This window comes from Homo sapiens, chromosome 2 (assembly GCF_000001405.40).
Source record: "Homo sapiens chromosome 2, GRCh38.p14 Primary Assembly".
Classification (NCBI taxonomy): Eukaryota; Metazoa; Chordata; class Mammalia; order Primates; family Hominidae; genus Homo; species Homo sapiens.
Window position 1 is genome coordinate 40,746,455 of NC_000002.12, and position 18,872 is coordinate 40,765,326.

Consider the following 18,872-nt stretch of genomic DNA (forward strand, 5'->3'; position numbering starts at 1 on the left):
TATAAACCCCAGAAAATTCTGTCACCAGGGTCGTTGAACAGCTGCTCTGCAAGCTCCCACCCTGTGGAGTGTACTTTGATCTTCAATAAATCTTTGCTTTCATTGCTTCATTCTTTCATTGCTTTGCTGTGCATTCTGTCCAATTCTTTGTTCAAAATGCCAAGAACCTGGACAATTTGCAGTCAAGACCCTCCACCGGTAACACAATTTCCAAATTGGACTTAACATTTTCATTTTTCCAGAGCAGATTGGAGGTAGAGAAGAAAGAAGGCATTTCCTTCTTTTCAAAGACACATCCTCAAAGTTGCATATATTATTCTTTCTCGCTTTATATGTCAGATGTTAGGTATATGGCTACACTTCCTGGAAGCTTCCTGAGAATTGTAGCATTTAAGCAGCCAGCATTCTAAAATTAGAGTTCTAGTTCTATGGAGGAAGGGAGACTATTGGAGTTCCTCTAAGTTTCTGCCATGAGCATTTTCAGGTTACGTTGTCTACATGTTATCTAATACCAAAACCTCTGTTAGTATCTTCTTTATTATATAGAAAATAGGGAATTCTATCAGGCCATAAATACATGTTTGTTTTAAAATAAAAATTAAAGTTCTATTACATAAAGATTCTGAAAGAATATCTACAAAATGAAGTTCTGCATTTGGTAAGCTATTCAGAGGCATTAAACTGCCATCTATGGATTTTTCTAAATTACATATATACTTATAAATAATTTATAAGGACAAGATTTTAGAGTTACAATGCTTGCCAGTGAAATTAAGGAAGAGGTGAACTTCATGGTAGAGATGAGAGCTCCCCTGAACTTTTCATCTCTCTGCTTGACATGAACAAGTTTATGACAAAGTATAGTTGATGACTCAGAAAATCTTTTGACAGATGTGCAGAAGCTGACAAATTCTCCACTTTGCTGGTAAAAAGTTACATATCCATCTTGGTCTTTTTCTGGACTGGCACAATTTGCATCTCCCTTATCAGAACCGTATTCAAGCTTACAACAGCTGATAGTGTCACTAATGTCATTGTACCCTATCACGACAGTCTTCCACTCTCTCTCTCTTCCTGCCCCACATATTGCCCAATATATTAACATTGCTTATGTTGCTGTTTTATTAGAAAAGACACTTACTCTTCATTCATTTCTCAGTCTTTCACTCTTTCTCTTGTATACACACACACACATAATTAATACTTGCTCGTCATTCAATCTTACAGTGAAATTCTGGTAGTGAAATCCATATTTTCCTATAATTCTTATAATGAAATTATCATTTCTCAAGAAAGGAGAACTTAAAGACAGGTTAAAATGAAGTACATTTTCTCTGTCAACACTATGCTTTCCTATTTGATGGATGATTATTTATACACAATTCTGTTTACCAAACAATGGTCTGTTGAGGTATTTAATAAACTGAAATAAGATTTTTTTTTTCTTTGAGACAAATTTCTATTAAGGTAACATATTAAATTTTCACCGCAGTTGCTGTGGATTAATATCTATTTGGAGTGCACAGCATTCTAAATGTTAAACACACACCTAGCTAGCACTATACTTTTTACAGGCAATGTCATATTAAGGAACTTGGAAAACCTTATGGGAAAGTTGTTACATATTATCTTGACTGTTATTACAGTAAATATATTTCTCTTTTTCTGACCAGGAATGGTAATAATTATAAACTCAAAAATGTTCTCCAATTCTTAAGAAACTCAGGCTGAACTAGAAAATTTCTGGGTAAACAATATTTCTAAAGAATATAGAAGGCATACAGAATATGTGTTCCAGAAAACAAACCTGGCTCCCTTAAAAAAACAAAAAAAAAAACAAAAAACACTTTAGACCGGGCGCGGTGGCTCACATCTGTAATCCCAGCACTTAGGGAGGCTGAGGCAGGTGGATCACCTGAGGTCAAAAGTTCAAGACCAGCCTAGCCAACATGGTGAAATCCCGCCTTGAGCTTGCAGTGAGCCGAGATCGCGCGCCCCTACACTCCAGCCTGGGCGACAGAGCGCGAGTCCGTCTCAAGAAAAAAAAAAAAAAAAAGAAAGAAAGAAACCCCGCCTCTACTAAAAACACAAAAATTAGCTGGGCGCCGTGGCGGGCACCTGTAACCCCAGCTACTCGGGAGGCTGAGGCAGGAGAATCGCTTGAACCTGGAAGGTGGAGGTTGCAGCGAGCCAAAATCTCGCCACAGCACTCCAGCTTGGGTGACAGGGCAGGGCTCTGTCTCAAAAAAAAAAAAAAAAAAAAATACACCCTTTGTTTCTAATATATGTGTTCTTGCTTATAAATTTGTACTATTTCTATTGCATTTTATCAGACATCTGAGCGCCAGTCAACTGTAAGGTCTTTCAGAACTCTGACTGCATTGTTCCTATGAGCTTTAATATTTCCATGACTCCAGAGTTTAGCACAGCATCAAATCACTCAACAGGTCATTGTCATTTATAATGCCAGATACACCATGCTTTATTTTATTTACGCTAATAGTTTGGCTTTATTTATGCAGTTGAGAAGTAAATTATTTTGGGCCCTGTTTACGTAAATAAAAAGCATAATTTAATGAGATATAGCAAGTATTAATATACTGTTAATAAAATATATTGGTATCTGAGTTGGGAAGATTGAAAATAATATTCATTCATTAAATTCCCATTTTGTACATCCTTTATGATTTTACCATAAACTGTAATGGGGAAAATCTCAGAAATGGAAAGTTGTGTTAAACAGTGTCTTAATATATTATTTAAACTTCATTAAAGAGTGTCTTAATATGTTATTTAAACTTGTACAATTTTGTTTAGGAGACAGAAAAATGTGGAAGAAAATATGATATATTTATAAGTTAAAAATGCATGAAAAGATTTTTATATTTTGGAATTTCAGAGGGGTTACTTTTAATTTAGTATTAATTCAGACTTTTTAAAAACTTGTGGATAATTCAAATATTAATAAGACAAGAATCCTTTGTGAAAGAAGAGATGAAGATTGCACACAAATTAACATACCATCATATAGAAAGCATTTGGAGCCGTATTAGAGGTGCAGATAAAGATTTGTGGTTGCTGAAATGTTCAAGCATTATTTTTCAAAACAGATGTGACTCTGTGGAAGATGGGGCATTGGGATGGAGCTTGAGGGATGAACAAAAACGGACATGGTTGTGTAGTTTGGAATAAAACTTGTGAAATGCATTTTTAAATAAAATATAAAATCAGCTAGTATATAATTACCAGAGAGCTTTGAAAAAGTATTTGATAAAGAGCTTTGTATGTATGCTTCAGGAAATTATAATGATCAAAATCCTAAAGACTTCAAAGTACTACATTGTGCGCATAGCATTGTTCTTCAGAAGAAAAAAAAATAACGTTTGTTTTAAAAAGAAAGAAATCTTTCTCCAAGGGACTTTAGCAATCCATTCTATCATTCACTATGGTAACAGAAAGAAAACAATAGTTGACATCAAAATTTGGCATCCTGGAAGCAGTGAAGAGGTGGTAGGTGTATTTTCTTTCTCCATTGGAGTGGGTCTGTCCTAAGAGATAATTCAGTTGTTGTTTTCTTTCAAATGAATTTGCTAGATATGTTTTTAAAAAATTGGAGTATGATGGTATAATATTTAGCAATTTCTCCAAAGAAATTCATTAGTTATGGAGCCATTGCTTAATATAGCTCTGCCTTAAACATGATTTAAATTCAAATAAGCATTCTCCTGTCATCTCAAACATGGCTACATGTTTTCTGGCTGGTGTGTGGGAAGGAGTAGCACGCACAAATCTCTCCATTAGCTGATTTAAACATGATTTGCAATTGACAATATTCTATTGAAAAGAATGCTGTATTAAATATACTCTACACATTTGATGTACTAAAGTGACTATGCATAAAACATTAAACCTTTAGAGTAGAAAAAAAATACATTCTCAGGACTGACCATTGTTTATTTTAATAGTCTACCTATGTGATTAAAGTACTATTATATTTGATTAATTAAACCTGACTCAAATGATGTGATACATGAAATATTTTCCCTATGAGTAATATAAATTATTTTTAGACTGCCAGAAATTGTACATATATTTCTATTACCTGTACAAATTAGAATTGGAAATCATTACATTTTCTTCTAGGTATATTCCAGGTACAATGTTTCCAAATCTATAAAAATGTAGGTTCAATCTTTTATTTGAAAAATAGCTAGCTCTTTTATAAAATATTTTTGGGCTAGTTTCTTAAGAAAAACAATTTATAATTTTAGTAGTGCTTTAGATTTCACAGTATAATTCACATGTGTTGCTTATAGTTAAAATATTAAAAACCTGAATACTTCAGTGAAGTTAGTGTAAGTTTTATACCTTAGGAAATACATAATGAAGTATAAATGGAAATGATATATGTAATGTTCTCAAATATATATTTCTATGTAAATCATATATACATATCACAATGTGTGTGTATATATATATGCAAGGAAGAATGATAAAACAATTGTGACAAAATGTTAAAAAATGGTGAATCTGCATAAAGTATGAGAATTATTTTTTTTTTTTTTTTTTTTTTTTTTTTTTTTTGAGACGGAGTCTCGCTCTGTCACCCCGGCGGGACTGCGGACTGCAGTGGCGCAATCTCGGCTCACTGCAAGCTCCGCTTCCCGGGTTCACGCCATTCTCCTGCCTCAGCCTCCCGAGTAGCTGGGACTACAGGCGCCCGCCACCGCGCCCGGCTAATTTTTTTTTGTATTTTTAGTAGAGACGGGGTTTCGCCTTGTTAGCCAGGATGGTCTCGATCTCCTGACCTCATGATCCACCCGCCTCGGCCTCCCAAAGTGCTGGGATTACAGGCGTGAGCCACCGCGCCCGGCCGGGAATTATTTTTGCTATTCACATTATTTCTGTAAGTTTGAAATTACTTTAGAATCTAACTAGAAAGTACTAATATCAATAAGACACATGTGACTTAGCCTTTCATTTAGAAGTAAGCCAAATGAGGAAAAGATCAGAAAAGTGTTGTAATTAAGGTTATGAAGGGCATCAGTGATAGAGTCAGGAATGGAACTTAGATATTCTGATTTAGAGTTAGGGCTCTTCCATGGCCCTAAGTTACATCTACCCAACAACTGTGAAAGTAACATAGGGAAGGCATTATTTTTCCCTCTTACAGATAGGAAATACAGGCTGAATTGGTTCAATCACTCCCTTAGGTTTTATTATTAGTGGTAAAGCAAAAATTCTCACCCAGGATTTTGATTCCAAATACAGTATCCTTTCCATTATGTAATGAATCAGCATATGAATATACGAGATGCATGCTGCTACTTAAAATCAGCATAAAATATGCAATTAAGGATAGTTTTCAAATATCTGCTTTTTTGATTCTTCAGAATTCATTGATTTGTACAGACAGAACACAATACATTACCGTAGCATTCCTTGAGGCTAATCGGTAACAGAATTAAGGTCAGATTATTTGTGTTTTGTGTTATATTCCACTCACATTAGGAAGTAATGTTGTTCATGGTATGAATAAAAATTCACTGCTTATTTGATGTTAAAGGAAAGTAACAAAAATTAAAAAGTGAAGCCACTGGTTTCAAGTTCCAATTTTTAATTCATTTGAATTCACTCTATTCCAATATTTAGTTTGCTTTGACTTATGTGACTCAGAGAGATTACTCAAAGAACTGGAACAGGAACTTTGTATTATGTAAAGGATTTTCTCATTGCTCTGAGTTTAAAGAGAACAGTCTGTTGTTTTCGTTTTATTTTAGAAGAGTAGTCATCTTTCTAGAATCAAATTCTATTAGACCTAATTTGAATTTCTCTATTTAGCATAAGTTTCCCAGTCATTGTATTTTCAAAACCTTCTCTTCACTCTACATTTTAGCCACATTGATCCAAGTAAAACCTATTTATGATCTCTGAAGACATTTTAAATTTCCTATATCTAGCATATAATAGATGCTCAACAAATTTTTTATGCAATTACAAACATCATAAGTATGCATTATTTTTCTGTATATATGTATACACACATGAACATACATCCATGTGCATACATGGGAATACATATATGAATGAGCACATTGGAAAATTCAGTGTAAGGTAGCAGTTCTACTAGAAGTTCACTGAAATAATTGACATTTTAAAGGGAAAATTTTACATCAGCACTGGTAACTAATCAGAAATATAGGGAAATCTGTTGAGGGTAGTTTCAGCCAATTAAGGTATCTAAGGCTAGCTGACACAAGCTAATGAAAGATAGCCTTTCAGAAAGTTGACAAAATTCACTCAAAATCACACGATTGCCTTCTAATTTGGAGTGGTGAAAATAGATATTTTTACCTATGTCCATCATTTCAAGAATGTTTTAAAAGATGGGATGAGATGATTGTACTAGTAAGGAGTGAATAAGAACTCATAAAGAAAAAAAATTACCAAATTAAAATAGACTAAACAAAATGAAACTATTTCTTTAAAATAAGGAAGTCCAGTAGTAAGAAGTTCATGGCTTGGCATGAGGAGTCAGTGGTGTCGGCAAGGATTAGGCTCAGTTATTTTTGCTCTGCCACATATACATCAGCAAGATCGCCTGCTGGCCCATGATGGTGTCTAGAGCCTCAGTCATCCCACTTACACTTGGACCAGTAAAAGGAAGAAACTTAGAAAAGGTCAAGGTGGCCCTTCTATCTGGGTCAATTCCTTTTAACGAATTGTTCTGAAAGTATATCCAACATTTTCTCACAAATTCCATTGGCCAGGAATTGGCAACATCTCAGTCATTAGCCACATGCAGCTTTAAAGACAGTCTAAAAAATTGATGTCTTTTATTCATGTATTTTACCCTGCTGAAATGCACTGTTGCAAAACAAACAAAAAAAAGACACAGAACCAAACTGCTTTCTTTTTTTGTTGTTTTAGACAGATCTATGAATGAGACTAATTTGCCTAATACTTATTCCTATTGACTTTTAGGAAGTTTTTATTGTTAGCAGAAGTTAGAAAAATAAAACTATAAACTAAATTTCTAATACTCTCTAAAACCAGGGTTCTGTACATGATTTAGACTTGCAGTAAGATTCATTAAAGTCTGTAAGACTTTATCTTTAGTTTAGGATTAAACTGCATAGGAAGAGACACAGGATTGAGGCCTCTATCTTACTGCTAAAAGCTAATCTGAGATGCAGAGGATTCTACAGCCTGAAAAACTGAGAAAAACATTGCAAGACTCACATACTTTAAACATGATTACTTCTATGCATATCTCAATTTAAGAAAAGACAAATGCAGTATTATACAACACTCACATTTTAGCATAATTTTGAGGAAGGGTCTTAGCTCATAAATTTGGCCTCCTAATGTGAAAACTAAATTTCTGAAGCAGGGCACGTTAAGCCTCATACCTGGGAACTTGGGAGAGATTTGAGAACTTGAGAGAGACTTACTTTTATTCTCAGTTTTGTCAAATAGTAGTATTTGGACCAATGGCCTGAATGAAAAACTCCTTAGAAAGTGTTCATAGGCTGAAAATTATTCATCATGCTGGAATGAGCCTACCTCAGAATATTTGCACTGGCTGTTTCCTGTACTTGGGGACTGTTTCCCCTGAAAAAAAAAAAAAAAAAAAGTTTGCATGGGTCATTCCCTCACATCCTTCAAATCTTTACTCAGTTATCACCTTTGTAACATGTACCTGACCATCATATGTAAAACTGTGATTCCCACCCCAGCCAGGTTTTCCCCATTCCCTTTTGTTCCCTAAGCACTTAGCACCTCCAAACATATGATATAATGTAATTGTTTAATATATTTTTTCTTTTTCCCTATGCTAAGATTAAACCTCTATCAGAGCAGGGAAATGTATTTTTTTTCATTCATGTAACACCACTTGCAGGCACCTTGTAGGTATTTAGTAAATACCTGTTGAATGAACAAAGAATTAATGAGGAGTCTGGCCAATATTAAATATTGAAGAGCAAGAAAGAATAAAATAAGTTTACATTTTAAGAAAAGATGGTATGTGTATATATCTCCAGTAAATAGATTTCATCATATGCCTAGAAAGGGTAGTGTTTTATTTTATTTTATGCTTCTATTTGCAGGGATATGAACTTCCAATTATATCATTGGACTTGACTACTCCATTTCTTTCCACATTTAAAAATCGTAAGTTTACTTTACTTAGGTTACAGAAGGAAAGGCAGTGATTATTTTCCAAAGTAGGCTGAACATAAAAGTAGCAAAGTTGCTTGGAAAAAAGAAAGATGTAATTTGAATTGATAGTAATTAAAATGAAATGACTTCTCAGCCTAGAGAAGAACATTTTGAATACGATGATCAATAGACAACATTATTCTGACAATTCCAGTGTTGCTGCTTATATAAATGTATGCATTACACTGAAGTACAAGAAGTTAGACTGATTTGAGTAATTCTAAACACTAGTTCAATATACAAAATAGAAGGAGCAGCTTTCAATATCCCTCTAAAAGACCATGCAATGCTTATTACCCAGTTTCACTGCATTCCAGGCCACCATTTCACCTGCAAAGGGGAGTTTAAGATTATGCCAGAGCAAAGGGCTGTGATCACTGCTTGGATTTCATTTGATGGGTTTAATAGACAGGAAATCTGCCATGGAGATGACATCTGCAATATACCTTTTATCCTGAAGAATCAGGGAGAAGCTATTTTGAGAACTTAACACAGTATTTAACATGGGATTTCTGAATGAAGACAGTTTATGGATGAATAAGGTAAGTAAGCATTTAGACTGATGGGAAAAATAGGAGTTGCCAAATCCATTCAAATTTTAAAAATTATCTTTTTCTACCTTCTTGTCTGAGCACCTGAGAATAAATCAACATGTGTCTTTGAAAATGTATATTTAATAACAAATAGTACTTAACACTACAAAGTATTTCATACCGATGGTATTCTTCTGATGACTAAATAGCATATTTCCTAATCTCTACACAAAACGAAATTCTATAATTTAACTTTTTGGTCAAAAAGATGAACTTTGAAACATTTTAAATTTTGAAATTTTATAAAACATTTAAAAGTAGATGAGTATCTGAATATCAATTAAGCCACGTAGCCCTTGGTAGTTTCTTATTCACAGTAACGATTTCATAGGTAAGAGTGCCTGTTATCACTAATTAATATCAAATATTAAAAACTATGTAATTCCCACCTTTAAGGATACTTTAATATATTGTGATTATTAATTTAGATGAACTTTATGAAAAACATTTCGATTAAAATGTCTCTCATTAACAGAGAATACAGAGGATTTCTCTTCTGAACATATGACATTTTTTTTTCCAAATTGCATAAAATTCAAAAGCTCCTTTTTAATGCAAAGATAGAATTGAATGACTACTTTTGGTATTTGTTTGGTTGTGTGTGCTTTGCTTCCAGAAAAATAATTGAACTCTTTTTTTTTTTTTTTGGTCTAAAGAATCAGCATTAAATCTTGCTTACCCATTTGTACATTCATTTAGTAAGCAAATAAACTACATTAATAGAGTGAGACTTATAACAGCAGAATTTTTTGGAAGATCTTGATAGTACTATTAGCCTATTGAGTCAATGATTTTGGCCACTATGACAGTCAACTTCACTCTTTCAATAGCCACAATTGATATAATTTGCCATATATGCTTCAAAATGTTTTATTGGAGGTCTGGATCCTGAATAACGTTTTATACTAAATACTTGTTTTTTTTTTTTTTTTTTTTTTTAGTGACTTAGAAAACAGTTTGATACTATTAAGGAAGCCATAACTGAATTATATTAAAGCTGGAAGCACAACACTATCAAACACTGAAACACACAAAATGATTCTTTGTTTTATCCCAAGGTATTAGTGATAAAAAGATCATAGTTCTCAAACACAGATTTATTTCCTTCCTCCCTCCCTCTCTCTGTCTCTTTTTTCTTTCTTGTTCTTTCTTCTTCCTTCCTTCCTCCCTTCCTCCCTCTTTCTTTCCTTTCCTTTCCTTTCCTTTTTTCTTTTCTCCTTTTCTTTCTTTCTTTTTTCTTTCTTTCTTTCCTTTCTTTCTTTCTTTCTTTCTTTCTTTTTTCTTTCTTTCTTTCCTTTCTTTCTTTCTCTCTCTTTCTTCCCCCTCCCTCCCTTTCTTTCCTTCCTTGCTTCCCTCCCTCCCCCACTCCCTCCCTCCCTCCCTCCCTTCATTCCTTCCTTCCTTCCCTGCCTCTCTCAGTCTGTCACCCATGCTGGACTGCAGTGGTGCAATCTCGGCTCAAGTGATCCCCATTCTTCAGCCTCCCGAGTAGCTGGGATTACAGGTATGCACCACCATGCCCAGCTAATTTTTTGTGCTTGTAGTAGACATGGGGCTTTGGCATGTTGGCCAGGCTTGTCTCAAACTCCTGACCTAAAGTGATCAACCTGCCTTGGCCTCCCAGAGTGCTGGCATTTTGGGCATGAGCCAGCATGCCAGGCCAGCATTATTTTTCTTTTGCATATCTCAGTTTGATTTTTTTGTTAATGTAAATATGAAACTTTTATTTCATATTTTCCTGACAAAGTAATACAAGCTCATTTGGAAATTTTTGAAAATGCATCACACGTTATAATGAAGATATAAAAATCACCAATAAGTTCATCAATCAGTTTAAAAAGTTAACTTGTTAGTGCATTTTTCTATAAATATTTAGATCATATTGTAGGCACTATTATGTATATTACTTTTTTGTTAAATACTATATCAGATTCACTTCCATTACATAAAGAATGTAGCGAGACATATTTTCCAAATAGCTGTGTAATATCCTATCATGCACGTTACCATGTTTCATTTAACTGTTTGATTTTTAAGACTCTTCTTTACATCACAAGCATTGCTTTTGTTTAAAATTTGATGGTTCCATATCTTATCATCATAGCCTCTGTTACTGTAATAAATAGGTATAGATTTATCTAGAATAATACTCACAGAATGATCAAAGTATAGAAAGTTGATTTTAAGAGAAAAGTTAATGAAATTTCCAAGAAAAGACTGAGTATTGTAATACAAAATTTAAGTACTGAGTATAAAGTAGATTTTATTCTAAAGTTGACTATCCCTTTCTTGAACATCAAAGCTTGATGAAAAATATTACTTGAAATAAATCCTGACTTATTTTGATTAGGCAAAGGAGTTACTGAATGTCTGGACTTCAGCGAATTAAGACACTGAGACTTTCTCGCTATTGAAGCTACCTTGAAACAATAAACACTAAATACCTAGTTGGTTTGCCAAAAGCATAAAATGTTACTTTTCGTATTTGATTTTCTTTCCCAAATCTATAATATAATCCAGAATTTGTACACATATTTTTTTCCTGATAATTAAACGTGTAGACAATGGGAATATAAGAGTTTCCAAATCCATTCAATCATTTTATGAACTTTTTCTACCTTCTTTGTGCTCCTGGGAAAAAAATCAACACATACATTTTAAAAACATATTTGATAACTGAAACTAGTTAACCTAAACCCAAAGAAGGCCTACCCTTCTACCATGTCCAAATTAAAACTAAAATTATTAACAGTTTGTTTCTTTACATCCATGAGAATTTGCTTCAATTATTTCTTTTCATGCCAGTTTCCTTTTCAAACCCTTCCTTAGACTTTCATTATATGTTTTCTAGTTACAAAGTCCGGAAAAGATATGCATAGAGATTGGTGTATCCAGGAACAGAAAACCAAACACTGCATGTTCTCATAGGTGGGAGTTGAACCAATGAGAACACACAGACACAGGGAGGGGAACATCACACACTGATGCCTGTTGGGGGATGGAGGTCTGGAGGAGTAGTAGCATTAGGAGAAATACCTAATGTAGATGACTAGTTGATAGGTGCAGCAAACCACCATGGCACATGTATACCTATGTAACAAACCTGCACGTTCTGCACATGTGTCCCAGAACTTTATATATATATATAATGTATGCGTGTGTGTGTATAGAAATTGGTATATCATGATGCTTGCTTAAATACTCCAGTTTTTTACTCTATTTGGTCAGCATAGATCTCATAAGATTTTTCCTTTGATAAAGTTTTGTATTACAGAAGTTGTGAGCACATAATCTTTTCTTCCCATAGCTTGCTCACATTGGTGGATGTGGTAGTTCTTCAATCTAGTTGCCACATTTCCTGCAGATACTAGGCACGCTAATTATGTCTCATAAATACAGGTTAAGCTAATCAAGTACTGTCTTGCTGTGTCTTTGTCTCTGTCTCTGTGAACACATTACATTGCTTCTTTGTACCCTTGCCAGCAAAAAAGAGAAATAATATCTATAACCTTCTCCCCTCAAGAGTATTGTACTTGTTAATAAGTATGCAGAACTTTCAGAGAAAGATACAGTGCTTAGAGCTCTGTGGAAAAAACACTTGTATATAAATGTAATATGTCATTTTTATAACATCTCCTAGCAGCCTAATGAAATGAACACAGGCACTCCACCAACACATTTCTTACTTGGGCTACATCCAACTCACCAAACACAATTAGGAAGTGAAATTCTTCTTGTTACTGTAAACCGTAACAGCCCAAAACTCCGTTTAATGTAGGCTCATTTTGGATTCTGTCCAGTGAGATATTGAAAGTACTAGAAGATCTTCATTATAATATGAATCTATATGGATGATTTTTTATCACAAGTTTCCAATGTGTTGTTTATGGCTTCAAACAGAAAATGATTTGTGTTTCTGTTTTGGTTTTAGTTTTAGCTATTGCTATTTCTAAAACAAATTAAAATTTACTTTTTGAAGTATTTGACACATATCAATGATTGGATCTAAGTTTCATACATTTTCTCTTTCTCTTCTAAAAATGTTACCCCCTTTGCAATCTTATTTCTCTTCTTTCAATTTCAAACTTGTGAAACCGTAGTTGTCAGCTTTTACTTTTATTCTCTTTCCTCCCACTCTTAGTTTAAAAAGTGATATACCCTTGTTTTGCCCTCTTGAATTTACTGATTCAATTTTTCTGGAATAGTATTTAATTATTCCAATAACATTAGAAATAAGTCCAGAATTTTAAAATTTTAGTTTGTTTGTTTTCCTAGCCTCACTCTCCTTATGTCTTAGATGCATTTTATGGTATTGATTTTGATATGCTTCTCATACTTTACCTTCCAATTCATTTAATCCTTTCCAATTAGGTCTCATTGTCTATCTTTACCTCTCCTATTTTCTGTTAAATACTGGCATTGTGATAACATCTTCACATTCTACTACTCCTGTCTAAATTAGGGCTAAAGTTATTTATAGGCCATGTCTCTACATCCTTGAGAATTTGCCTTAAACATTCCTTTTATAATGGCAGTTCTCTGTTCAAAACTTTTTCTGAACTTCATTATATCTTCTTATTTACAAATTCCAGCTGAGTACATGGTTTATAGCAGCCACTCAAGAAATGTTTGTTGGCTAGTCTGAATGCAGTGGTGTTTAAAATCTCACAGACACACACACAAACACACACACACACGTGTTAAATAGATTAATACTTGTTTGATTCTGAAGCATTTACCATTTCCATTTCTATGTATTACTTGTTCCATTTAGTATCCAAAATTTTATACCAATGACGTGATACGCTAGAGGACTACATTCTAAGTCTCTTTTATGGATAGCACTTAAGTATTTTTCTTTTCTCCAATTAAGTTGGAGCCTGGTTCAGGGGTGTGATAACTGGCTACAGACTACTGCATCAACTGCTACTCCAAATGTGTCCATGCAAGGCACCACTGCATCTGCTCCTGGCTCTCTGCTGTCCTCCAGTGGTTACATGTTATATTCCCCCACCCAGAATGTTACAAATAAGAGAATAGAGCCCATACGAAGATCTGAAATGTTCTGTCCCCACTGTCTCCACAAACTGGATTAGCATTGGCTAAGCTAAGTAGTAAGAAGAACCAATGTGGCCTATCATTAAAAGACAAGATCCAGATCAAGGTACCCGTGGAATCTCATTACTGTTCCTTTCATTGCTATTCAAGGCAAGCTGCCTAGAGATCACAATCTACATATCATCCCCTGGTCTTTTAGCACATATGCCACTCAGTGCGTTTCAAGACTTCAATCAGCCTAACCAAATTATATGTTGTGAAAAAGGTATTATTTCACTGAAATTACCAGCGGCTTAGTACATTAATATTTCCCCTAAAAAGGGGGAGTCAGTAAACCTGTAGTGTCGAGGATGGCAGGAGCAGGAAGGAAAACTCATGGAGCCAGTACTTACTTGGGATTCAGCAAAATTGTCTCAAAATCCCTTAAACTGTTACACTTGTAAAATTCTGGCCCATTAGGAGACATGGCCTTAATTAAAAGGTTTAAATTTTAACCTACGCACAGTCATGGAAATAGTAAGAACCTCCCACCTCCCAGATCTCCTTTTGTTCTAGCACACATATATGACATGTAAAAAAAAAATTAAATTCTGAAGTTTCCCTTCCAAATGAAAAATGACAATTCTTAATCCTCTATAATTCAGTTATTGCAAAACTAACTTTAATTTACTTTATTTGGTTTGTAAACTGTGAATTTTATGCAAAGAGATAGAATTAGTGGAATGATTACTATAACACATTTACTTATAAACATTTAAGCAACTATACATTTCCTTAAATCTGTGGTCATGAGGAGCTTGACCTAGTGAGACATAGTAACGTTCTTGAGTTACTAGACTTTTTCCTATTGAGTTGTAAGAGTTCTTTATATGTTCTGGATATAACGCTTTATATATTTTTATATATATAATAGTTTTCCCATTCTATTGCAGACTTGTTAATATGACTTTTATAGGAGAAAAAATTTTAATTTTGATAATAATCATTTTATCGAAGTTTCTTTTATGTTTTGTTCTTAGGTGCCCTTAGAAATCTTTGCCTATACAAGGCTGCAAATATTTCCTTCTAGAAAATTTTTAATGTTTTACAGGTACTATATGATCCATTGCAAATTAATTATAGAATGTGGTGTGAGGTAAGGGTCAATATTGAAATCTTGTGCTTCCTGTACATGGAACATGGATCTGCATTTTATTTCTTCTGTTTTTTAATCTGGATGCATTTTATTTTATTTTACTTATTTAGTTTTACCCTACAAATTTAAATCTGCAGCACACTGTGCACTAGAACTGGAGATAGTTGATATCGTGACTTGTTCATCACCTCAGAGGAACATACTATTTCCAAATTAAGCATGATGCCAGATATATGATTTATGGATGCCCTTTTATAGTTTAAGGAAGTTTGCTTCTCATTTTGATTTCCTTCTCTTCTTATTTTTGAGTTTTATGGATGGCATTTTTTGAGTTTGAGGAAGTTTCCTTCTCTTACTATTTTGATGTCCTTCTTTCCTTTTTTTGTTGTTAGTAGTAGATGTTGAATTTTCTCCCTGAGAGGACTCCCGAGTAACTCTCTTCCATACATATTTCCACATCAGATCCTGGTTCCTTGGAAATTTAACCCAAGAGATCTAGTTTCTTTCATTGCCCCATAAGACATTATATACTTTAAGAAACTTTAGAAAGAAGTAAATATTACACTAGACAGGAAGAGAAAATGTGAAGCTTGCACTTTCTGTCCATCAAAGCACATAAGATGAAAGAAATCAGAGATATGGGACTCTGTATCTGAAATGCCTCTTTCCAAACTGTGTTCTTAGAGTAGGAAAGCTTATTGAATAGGTTTAGAGAGAAAGCTGAAATCAAGGATAGTTTATCCTTGTCCACCATTTGGCCACCTGGGAAGAAATGGTCGTGCACACTGTCATGTGCCAATACGGAGATGACAGAGAAAGAGCAGAGAAAGAATAAATGAACACGGGAAGGCATTCCTAAGCTGTACTGTAGCCATATACCCTTACAGGAACCCACAGATTCCTACATTTTCTAGAAGAGAGTATAAAAAAGTAGCTGAACATCTAGTAGCTATCACTGTGGGAGCAAAGGATCTTGAATATTAAGGGCTACTGAGAAGGTTCATTTATCCTGCAGTCATGATTCAGGAAAAGTTCCTTGGGCCTCAGTGAGAATAAGTCATCGAGGGAAAGCTATAGGATTGTGGCTAGGCCAGGAGGACAGAACTCATTAATGCATACTAGTAGGATGCTTGTGGATATGAACAGACTATCCTCATCTTAGGGTATACCAGCCTCCACACAGCCAGTGGAGAGCCACCCAAGGACCAGCATGAGACAAAGATAACCACTAACCCCAATCTCATGGTGACATCCATGCCATCTTATTCCAAGATGTCGTCTTAAAAAGGAAAAGTGTGGGTAAAACAGCCTTAATAGGACTTGGAAATTTAAACTGTCAATTATACTTTCAGAATAGGAATTGTTGGAAATCAAAAGAAACTTAAAAATGAAAGGATAAGATATAATTAGAGAAAAAGTTAAAATTTGATTCATTACTATATGTCAATGAGGTACAGAAGTGAAGCAGATATATTTTCTCTCCATATTGAAGTGGTAACTTAAATTCTTAACTCTACAATACTGCTAGTAAGCGGTAAAGATTCAAAGTGGGCCCGATTCTATGACTTATTCACCGAAATACTAGTTCTACTGAGTTCACTTTAAGGCATAATTGAATGTCAGTAAAATATTACTGGTTATTATGAAGTCTCAGATAAACCAGAAATTAAATCTCATCATCACTGATATACTAACTACATATATAGAAAGCACGTTACAACTCCAGAAACAGATGCATACATATGCACATATATACATATGTGTGTGGGCATGTGTTTATATACATATGGAGTTTCTAGGCCTAACACATTGATAATTGAAGGTAGTTTAGGTTTCAGCAACCAGGCCATGTCTCATGGAATGGAGATATTAAATCATGGAGGAAACTGTCATAAATTATCAGTAAGGGACTATATAAAACTTGATGTCTCCTGGAGAAAACTTGTGTCTGGCTAAAATTTAATCTCTTCTTTTAATGTCCTCAAATGGTCTCAACAGATTCCTTTCTGAGGGAAATATAGCCAAAGGTAACCATGTTAGGAAATAGTGATCTGGTTATGTGTCTAATTTTACCATTCTGGGAAACCTTCCCACAGTTGCAAATTTCTTACCTGAAAATTTAACATGGGCACTGCATCGGTCTGTTCTCTCGCTGCTAATAAAGACATACCCAAGGCTAGGTAATTTATAAAGGAAAGAGGTCTAATTGATTCACAGTCCCACATGGCAGGGATGGCCTCACAATTATGGTGGAAGAGCAAGGGATGTCTTACAAGAGAGCTTGTGCGGGGGAACTTTAATTTATAACGCATCAGATCATGTAAGACTTATTCACTACCACGAGAACAGTATGGGGAAACTACCCCCATAACTCACTTATCTCTACCTGGCCCGGCTCTTGACATGTGGGGATTATTACACTTCAAGGTGAGATTTGGTTGGGGACACAGCCAAACCATATTAGGTACTCTAATAGGTGGTTGGAAATAGCTGGTAAAAATAATCCCAAATCTGCTTTGCAAAGGTAACAGAAACTTTAAACAATATTTTAAGTATGGATATTGGTGTCTGTGTGTGTGCGTGTGTGTGTGTGTGTGTGTGTTTAAAAGTTTATATTGGACAATAGCAAACTACCTTGGAGAAAAGTTGATTTTGGAACATAAAAATCTCTTCATCACAAAGAGCAAATTCTAAATATATATCACATGGAATAATCAGGAAAAGTACTATGGGAATATTTTAGCTCTCTAGAAGGAAATACTAATCCAGATGTCTTTATTAATTGTACTTTAGGGCAACTTTGGTTCTTTTCAGAAGGTGCGTGATCTGGATGGCTGAAGTTGCTGATTTTGGGGGGTAATCTACAAGGAAAAGGTGATGAAAATACCAGAAACAGTCTGTATCCTACTATGTGGCTAACATATGAGGAAGTCTCAACATGCAAACTTTGGCAGATAAAATCTTAGGCCATGGACAAGACCATGTCCCTTTGTGAAGACAATGCCCACAGCAAAATATTTTTCATTAAATCAAGGAAATGGATACTAGTGAACTAAGATTTTATATATAACTAATAATAAATACCAATTATTTTTGCAAGCATATCTCATCACTGAAATATACATCTGTATTTCAATGTATTATCCTAATATTGATTTCCCTGGGGGAATCAAGAAAAGGATTATCTATTTAAAGAGAAGGGAATATCAAGCCTGTTATTGCCACAATGTGGAAGAATCAACAAAATAACTGTTTTCAAATTTCCAGATATTAATTTTGTCATCATGTATACAAACTTATTTACCAAACATGCTTCATTCTACATTTCTTTCTTGACAGGTTTTACAATCTTTGTTATTCTGTTTTCAAACAAAAAATGTAAAATGCCATTTCTATCTTTATCACTAAAGCTTCCCATCAACACGTTTATCTCTTTTCACCCACATATCTGATTGTATTTTGAATGTAAAATAAAAACAGGCTTTAAAATGAAAAGGCTTTTATAAAATAAAAATTTGCTGTAGAAGAGAAAAAAAATGTAAGAAACTCAGATTTCCACTGAATTTCCAAGGGCCTGTGGGGGCCTAGTAGTGAAAGAGTGATATTTTATAAGTGAGTAAGTATGAATGTTCTCATAGGTTTTGTGTAAAGATGATATACTTGTATTAATGAATGTTCTGTAACAGGGATATTCTTTTGGTTAGTGGTCCTTTTGAAGATGTCAAGATGAGATTGTGTGTCATCCAGATCACATGACATATATCATTCCTCTCAGTCCTTGAATTATAATAGTTATAAGGCAAAAACAACACTTGACCTTTTGGGTTCCCTGATATGTTTACAAAATAATTTGAGTTTTCAAG

At 34.3% G+C, this 18,872-nt stretch overlaps 2 long non-coding RNA genes across 7 annotated transcripts in view, besides 1 other annotated feature; one reads left to right on the forward strand and one right to left on the reverse strand.

The window, feature by feature from the left end:
- LOC105374497 (uncharacterized) overlaps positions 1–18,872 on the reverse strand; it is a 291,527-nt gene that overhangs the window by 67,714 nt on the left and 204,941 nt on the right. The window lies entirely within an intron of this gene.
- On the forward strand, positions 27–18,504 carry LINC01794 (long intergenic non-protein coding RNA 1794). 2 transcript variants are annotated; one of them, NR_183396.1, is made up of 4 exons: positions 27–658; positions 8,112–8,175; positions 8,684–8,765; positions 17,803–18,504. It is a non-coding gene; the product is annotated as a long intergenic non-protein coding RNA 1794 (long non-coding RNA). The 2 variants fall into 2 exon arrangements; NR_183395.1 differs by lacking the exon at positions 17,803–18,504 and adding an exon at positions 11,167–11,387 and having other exon boundaries at positions 27–198.
- Positions 4,793–4,967: a silencer, noted in NCBI's record as "fragment chr2:40978387-40978561 (GRCh37/hg19 assembly coordinates)". NCBI's record gives its function as "represses an EF-1alpha promoter that drives an FKBP-Casp9 reporter gene in an ReSE screen in K562 erythroleukemia cells {active_cell/tissue: K562}" and the evidence as "EXISTENCE:reporter gene assay evidence [ECO:0000049][PMID:32094911]".